This window comes from Homo sapiens, chromosome 4, assembly GCF_000001405.40.
Source record: "Homo sapiens chromosome 4, GRCh38.p14 Primary Assembly".
NCBI classification, from domain to species: domain Eukaryota; kingdom Metazoa; phylum Chordata; class Mammalia; order Primates; family Hominidae; genus Homo; species Homo sapiens.
The window spans coordinates 80,172,591-80,181,160 of NC_000004.12; the positions used below are offsets into that span (position 1 = coordinate 80,172,591).

At 43.4% G+C, this 8,570-nt stretch overlaps 1 annotated feature.

The window, feature by feature from the left end:
• Positions 6,936-7,584: a transcriptional cis regulatory region, noted in NCBI's record as "candidate enhancer chr4.2006 targeted for multiplex CRISPR interference". NCBI's record gives its function as "positively regulates ANTXR2 gene expression with high confidence in K562 cells {active_cell/tissue: K562}" and the evidence as "EXISTENCE:mutant phenotype evidence [ECO:0000015][PMID:30612741]".

Sequence of the window (8,570 nt, forward strand, 5' to 3'; positions counted from 1 at the left end):
TCTCTTGACAGATATTCATAATTTCCTCTAATAGGTATTTCTTTATTTACCATTTGCCCTTAGGACCATTTCCAGAGAATTTAAGTGGTTGTTTCTTTACACACAATTTTCACCAGTTTCACTGAGGAGTGGCTCAGCAGAGTTTCCCACACTGCCATTCTAGAAGTCAATCTATTTCACTTGTATTTATTGTTCAGCTATATATGTTACTTACAAGACTCTTCTTTGCTTTCCACTCCTAATTTTCTGTTTTCCTATAGCTAACTCTGTCTCTCTCCTTTGAAACACTGACTTCCAACTTTATATCAGTCCTCTCAAGTTTTCAAACTCTTAGTTTCTATGAGATTTAGAAATCGGGCTTTTGTTTGTGCTGATGTTTACAGTGAATATTCAAGACTCTGATATTGGCTATAATTTTTTTTTAGAGTTAAAGTCTTCCTTTGTTGCTCAGGCTGGATTGCAGTGGCACAATTTTAACTTACTGTGGCCTTGAACTCCCAGGCTCATGCAATTCTCCCACCTCAGCTTCCTCAGTAGCTGGGACTACAGGAACGTGCCACCACAATCAGATAATTTGATTTATTTATTTATTGCAGAGACAGAATATTGCTATGTTGCCCAACCTGATCCTGAGCTCTTGGTCGCAAGTTATCCTCCCAGCTCAGTCTCCTAAAGCACTGAGATTGCAGGCATGAGCCATGACAACCGGCCTTGAGTATAATTTTAATCTAAGGCTTCAGGAAAGAGAGCATGCTTCTCCACCACTGTCCTCTTCCATTTTTTTGTCTGTGGGTTAGTTCAGGTTCAGGAGGAAGAGACAGGGATGGCAAAGTTGGAAAGAGAAAATGTTACTTCATTCTAAAATCTACACAGTTTGTGAATTCAAGGGAAGCCATTAGTAGGAGTTCCTATTGCTGTGCAGCTGATTTGTTTTGAGGTAGTCACCCTTTGTTGAAGCCTGGCTGGCTTCCTTGAAAACAATCAGCAAGTGACTAACCAGGCATAGTAAGACTGGTGCTGACACAGGAAACCACCAAATGATGAGAGACCTGGGGATGCCCAAAGGAAGTCAATAAAAGCATACTCTCAAATTCTTCCAGATTTTGGCTTGCAAAGCCTCCCAAGACTTCTGGAAATCCTTCCTAAATGCTACTAGGAATGTTCCAGCCAAAGGGCTCTGAGAAATGATTCTTTAAAATCTTGGATGCTTAAGTTTACAAAACCCAGTAAGTTTTTACTTCCAGTTGAAACTGTGCATGAAAAAGATGTTTTCAGAAAGAGTTCTCAGATAATTCTATTTGTGAATAATAGTAGTAATGTAATGGTTATTCTCCATTTGTCTCTCCAAAATCCATTCTCTGTCCTCTCCTGGCTCTATATTGCCAGAGGCTGACTCATGCAGATTCGTTAGCATGCTCCAGAACCTTGCTGGTTAGTTAGCTTCCGGTTGAGTTAGGCCATTGGAAGGCATTAACATGAAATTGGAGCATGTGAGAAAAGAAAAGATGAGTTATTTCTTCCCTGTCCTCTCCTTGCTACACCATTGTCTCTGTGTCAGTAGCTGTTTCTGTAGGTCTCACACTGGGCCCTTCTTCCAAGGTTCTGGTCCTTAGCAGACTGTAGAAACACTAATTCCTCTCCTAAAATCTTCTTGTTATGCTGGTTTCTGTGTCCCTCACTCTCTCGTTTGTTCTCATCACCTGGTCCACATCTTTGTAGCACTCCCTTACCTGAGGATGGGGCAATTATTTCCAAGACCACCAGTGGATGGCTAAAATCACAGATAATACCAAATGCTGTATATACTATGTTTTCTCTGATACATACATACCTCTGAAAATAATTGATTTATAAATTAGACACTGCAAGAGATGAACAATAAGATAAAATAGAACACATATAACAATATACTGTGCACTCCCCTATATATACACATGTACATATATTATATATATACATATAAAGGGGAATTTGTTAAGTATTAACTTACACAATCACAAGGTGTCACAATAGGCTGTCTGCAAGCTGAGGAGCCAGGAGAGCTAGTCCAAGTCCCAAAACTGAAGAATTTTGAGTCTGATGATAGAGGGCAGGAACCATCCAGCATGGGAGAAAGATGTAGGCTGGGAGGCTGGGCCAGTCTCTCCTTTTCACATTTTTCTGCTTCCTTTATATTTGCTGGCAGCTGATTAGATTGTGCCCACCAGATTAAGGGTGGATCTGCTTTCCCCAGCCCACTGACTCAAATGTTAATCTCTACTGGCAACACCCTCACAGACACACCCAGGATCAATACTTTGTATCCTTCAATCCAGTCAAGTTGACACTCAGTATTAACTATCACAACTCCACCCCTTGTCAACTTGAACCCATATATATCTCCTGAGATCATACATAATCTTCAAATAAAGACAATAATAAGGTCATAATTACACTTAAAATAATACAACTATCTTTCGTACAACCGGAAATGCACCAATACCCCCATCCAAATACTATTACATAAAGTTAACAATACTTAAATGCTGATATGAAGTCAATTAATCTTATGTCACATGATAAAGGAAAAGGAAATAAAATGAGGATAATTTCTCAGTACAAGTGTATACATGCACAAACATGTTTTTAACAAAAGAAGGAGGAAATACTCATGACAGTTACAGTCCTCATTTCTGCAGCTGGTCAAGTGGTCATAGCTGGTATTTATGACTACCTTCTCCTACTGCCCATTCTGTATTCCCTTTACCTTCAGCAAGCACCTCAGCAGGTCATGTTTTTTTTCCTGGTGGAGTGACCCAAACCTTCCTTCCTGAGGGGTCTGGACCATTTGTAGTTCTGCCTGGATTGGGCTGTTGTACTTTCCCATTGACCTTAATCACAGGGCATGGTAATACTAAGAGACACCCTAATGGATCACCTGTATTCCGTGCATATTCTTTCCTTACCTCCGTTGTGGAGTAGTAGACTGATTTCATCTTGATAGTCTGGATCAATAACCCCAGCCAACACTATAACTCCCTTCTTAGTCTGTTGACTTAAAGGTAAGAGGACCCCAAAGTGTTCAGATGGAAATCTTAACTTCTAGTTTAATGGAATTGTTGTTGTGTCTCCTGGTGGCAGCGTTCCTCCCTCTGGAACTAAGACCTTTAGGTCTGCAGAACGTGAGGTTATGGGAACAGGAAGCAAAACTTTTGCTAGTGGATAACTAGAGGTGATGGTGAGTGGTGCCACTTCCACTTCCAGCTCTTGATTCCTGGACCTGTGAATCCTGGCTATGGGGGTAACAGAACCATATATTGGACACTGATTCAGAGCATACATGGCCTTCTAGAGAACTTTGCCCTAGCCCTGCAAAGTATTGTCACCTAGTTGGCATTGTAATTGTGACTTCAAAAGGCCATTCTAATATTCTATCAATCCAGCTGCTTCAGGATGTTGAGTAGCATGCTAAGTCCAGTGAATTCCATGAGCATGAGCCCACTGTCACACTTCTTTAGCTGTAAAGTGAGTGCCTTGGTCAGAGGCAATGCTGTGTGGCATATTGTGATGGTGGATAAGGCATTCAGTTAGTCCACAGATGGTAGTCTTGGCAGAAGCATTGCATGCAGTATAGGCAAACCCATATCCAGACTAAGTGTCTATTCCAGTGAGGACAAACCTCTGCTCTTTCTATGATGGAAGAGGTACAATATAATCAACCTGCCACCAGGTAGCTGGCTGATCACCCTGAGGAATGGAGCCATATTGAGAGCTCAGTGTTGGTCTCTGCTGCTGGTCAATTGGGCACTCAGCAGTGGCCACAGCCAGGTCAGCCTTGGTGAGTGGAAGTCCATGTTGCTGAGCCCATGTGTAACCTCCATCCCTGCCACCATGGAAACTTTCTTCATGGGCCCGTTGGGGCGATGAAAGGGGTGGCTGGGGAAAAAGGCTGAATGGTGTCCACAGAACAGGTAATCCTATCCACTTGGTTATTAAAATCTTCCTCTGCTGGAGTCACTCATTGCTGAGCACTCACATGGGATACAAATATCTTCATGGTTTTTGACCACTCAGAGAGGTCCTTCCATGTACCTCTTCCCCAAATTTCTTTGTCACCAGTTTTCCAATACGCTTCTTGCAAGTCCCTGACCATCCAGCCAAACCATTGGCTACAGCCCATGAATCAGTATATAATGGCACATCTGGCCATTTCTCCTTTCATGCAAAGTGCACAGCCAGGTGGCCTGCTCAAAGTTCTGCCCACTGGGAAGATTTTCCTTCACCCGCTGTCCTTCAGGGATGTCCTAGAAAGGGGCCGTAGTGCTGCAGCTGTCCACTTTCAGGTGGTGCCTGCATATCGTGCAGAACCATCTGTGAACCAGGCCCTTGTCTTCTCTTCCTCTGTCACCTGATCATAGGGAACTTCCCATAAGGCCATCGGTGCAGGCTGGGGAAGAGAAGGCAGGGTGGCAGGAGTGGAGACCATGAGCATTTGAGCCACTTCCTCATGTAACTTGCTTGTGTCTTCAGGACCCGCTTAAGGCTGATCAGATATATACCACCTACATTTGATGATGGAATGCTGCTGTGCAAAACCCACTTTGTGGCTGGATGGGTCAGAAAGCACCCAGTTCATGAAAGGCAGTTCAGGTTGCATGGTGACTTGGCCCATAGTCAAACATTCAGTTTCCACTAAAGCCCAGTAACAGGCCAAGAGCTGTCTCTCAAAAGGAGAGTAGTTATCTCCAGAAGATGACAGCAATGGAGGCCTAGAGGCCTCCACTGTGATTCACCTATGGGGGCCTGCCAAAGGCTCCAAACAGCATCCCTATCTGCCAGACACCTCAAGCACCATTGGATCTCCTGAGTCATGTGGCTCAAATGGCCGAGCAGCTTGCACAGCAGCCCAGACCTGTTGCAGAGCCTTCTCCTGTTCTGGACCTCACTCAAAACTGATAGCCTTTTGGGTCACTTGATAAGTGAGCTGGAGTAACACCCCCAAATGAGGAATGTGTTGCCTCAAAAATCCAAATAGACCCATTAAGCATTGTGCCCCTTTTTGGTCGTAGGAGGGGCCAAATGCACCAACTTATCCTTCGCCTTAGAAGGAATATCTCAACAGAGCCCACACCACTGTACCCGTAGAAATTTTACAGAGGTAAAAGGTCCCTGAATTTTAGTCAAATTTATTTCCCATCCTCTGGCACACAAATGTCACACCATGAAGTCCAGTGTGTTTGCTACTTCTTGCTCACTGGATCTAATCACCATAATGTCACCAATGTAATGGACCAGTGTGATATCCTGTGGAAGTGAAAAGCAATCAAGATCTCTCCAAATGAGAGTGTGACACAAAGCTGGAGAGTTGATATACCCCTGTGGTAGGACAGTAAAGGTATATTGCTGGCCTTGCCAGCTGAAGGCAAATTGCTTCTGGTGGGCCTTATGGACAGGAATGGAGAAAAAGGCATTTGCCAAGTCAATGGCTGTGTATCAGGTATCAGTAGATGTGTTAATTTGCTCAAGTAATGAAACCACATCTGGTACAGCAGCTGCAATTGAAGTCACCACTTGGTTAAGATTACAATAATCTACTGTTATTCTCCAAGGTCCATCTGTCTTCTGCACAGGCCAAATGGGAGAGTTGAATGGGGATGTGGTGGGAATCATCATCCCTGTGTCTTTCAAGTCCTTGATGGTGGCACTAATCTCCACAAGCCCTCCATGGTTACAATATTGTTTTTTGTTTACTAATTTTCTAGGTAGAGGCAGCTCTAATGGATTCCATTTGGCCTTTCCCAACAAAATTGCTCTCACCCTACCAGTCAGGGAGTCAATGTGGGGGTTCTGCCAGCTGCTAAGTGTATCTATGCCAATTATGCATTCTGGCATGGGGGAAATGACCGCAGGATGAGTCTGGGAACCCATTGGACCCATTGTAAGTCAGACCTGAGCTAAAACTCCATAATTACCTGACCTCCATAAGCCCCTACTTTAACTGGAGGACTACAATGACATTTTGGGTCCCCTGGAATCAGTGTCAGCTCAGAGCCAGTGTCCAACAGTCCCTGAAATGTCTGATCATTGCCCTTTCCCCAGTGCACAGTTACGCTGGTAAAAGGCTGGAGGTCTCCTTGGGGGAGGATGGGAGAAAGATTCACTGCATAAATTGTCGGTAATACAGTGGGGTCCTTCCTCAAGGGGACCTGGCCTCCCCTTCATTCAAGGGGTTCTGGGTCTGTAAACCAGCTCAAGTCTTGAAATTGATTGAGGGGCTATGATTCTCTGTTTTTATAATTCAAATTAGTCTTTTGTTCATTTGACCTAGAAGATTTCTGCTTGTATAAATTAAATAGGAACATAATAGGCTTCCTGTCAATTTCACTTCTAGGAACACTGTGATTAATTAGCTCAGAGCTCTACATGAGTCAGACTATTCTGATTGCTGCTTTGCCTCTGCTGTCCATTATGGTAGCTATACCCACTTTGCCTTTGACAGTTGAGTGCTACCGCTTGGCCCCTGCCACCTTGGGATCCAATAATTCTCATTGTATTTAAATTTTGTAGTTGAGTTACTGTGGTTCCCACTGTCAGATCTGACATATAGAGAAGAGCAATTACTGGGCTCGTCAAAGATGCAGGTGCTGCCCTCACAAATCTCTTTCACAAGGCATTGGTCAAGCGTATACCTTCTGGACCCTCCCAGCTGGGATGAGTAGGTCAAAAGTGACTAACCCACTCCATCATCCCAATCTCCCTAAGCCTTTGGATCCCTTCCTCTACATTAAACCGATGGAGATTAGGCATTTCCAGCTCACTGGCAGTGGGCCATATTTTAATCCATATTTCAGCTAACCAAGCATATAAACTATTGAAACTGTTTAACTCCCCAAGCTGCAATATTAAATGCAGAGTCCCAACTTAGTGGGCCCAAATCAATAAATTCAGCCTGATCCAACTCCATGTTTCTTCCACCATTATCCCATACCCTTAATATCCATGCCTGTTCTCCAGATTTCTGTTTATATAAATTAGAGAACTCAAACAGTTCTTTTTGCGTATAGTGTCCCTCCTCATGGGTCACACTCTCAACCTCACCTCTAGGGGCCCTCCAGGACTTCCATCTAGTTATAGGTCTAGAAGCAAACGAAAGAGCTGGGAGTGGCTGCTGAGGAGAATCAACATTATCTTGCCTGATAACTGCTGCAGGGGAGGCCATCACTGTTGCCTCAGGCAGTGCAGGATTTATCTCCTCAGACAAAGGTGGAAAGGCTGATAGCTGCATGGGTTGGGGAGGGGATGTTTTCACTACTGTGTATGGGGAAGCTGTTTCTTCTGTCAAAAAGGTTCATCAGAGTTTACAAACTCAGTGTCCCCAGCTTCATCTGGGTCCTCCCACACATCCCCATACCAAGTTGTGGGGTCCCATTCTTTTCCAATCAATGCCCTTACTTTAACAGTAGACACCTGGCAAAGCTGTACATGCATCTTTCATTACAGGAGAGCCACAGGCATGATAAGAGCTTGCGTCTGTTTTTCCACAATTTTAGCTCCTTCTCTACATGAGATAAGACTCTCGCTTAGTGCAATCTTAGCAGATTTGAGGCTCAGTATCTGCTTCTGAAGCCAGGAGACAGAATCCCTGAGTTCATCATTTTCTTTCCACATTTTGTCCACTGAACTTAGGAGCAAGCAACCAGCTTCATTGTGTTCCTTGGTTCTCCACATATGGTCAAAGGTATTATGTACAGAGTCAGTAAACTCCTTGCCTCATATATATATATATAGGGGTTTATTAAGTATTGACTTACACAATCACATGTCCCACAATAGGCTGTCTGCAAGCTGAGGAGCAAGGAGAGCCCAATCCAAGTCCCAACACCGAAGAATTTGGAGTCTGATGTTCAAGGGCAGGAAGTATCCAGCACAGAAGAAAGATGTAGGCTTGGAGGCTCAGCTAGTCTCTCCTTTTCACATTTTTCTGCCTGCTTTATATTTGCTGGCAGCTGATTAGATCGCGCCCATCAGATTAAGGGTGGATCTGCCTTCCCCAGCCCACTGACTCAAATGTTAATTTCTTTTGACAACACCCTCACAGACACACCCAGGATCAATACTTTTTATCCTTCAATCCAATCAAGTTGACACTCAGTATTAACCATCACATACTGTAATAAAATTTATGTAAATATGGTCTTCCTTTCTCCCTCTCTCAGAATATCTTATACCGTACTCACCTATTTTCCAACTGCAGAAAGCAGAACCACAGATACAGGGAGACTACTCATCTCTTAATATGATTCATTTGGGCTGAATTTCTGTTTCCTTTTGGGTCTCTGAGAATTGCCACATTTCAAAACCTTCTATGCGTATCATGATCTCTAAACTTCATGATAACCCTCCAAGGCATCAACATTAACCCATTTTATAAATGGGGAAATATTACTTAGATAAATAAAATACCCAAAGTCACACACCCAATGAGTCGCAGAATGGGAATTCAAATCCCAGTCCTTGTAACATCATTTTCTTTGTTTCACTTAAATTTGTAAGTACATTCTAATTATACTACTAATGCAAATACTAATTTC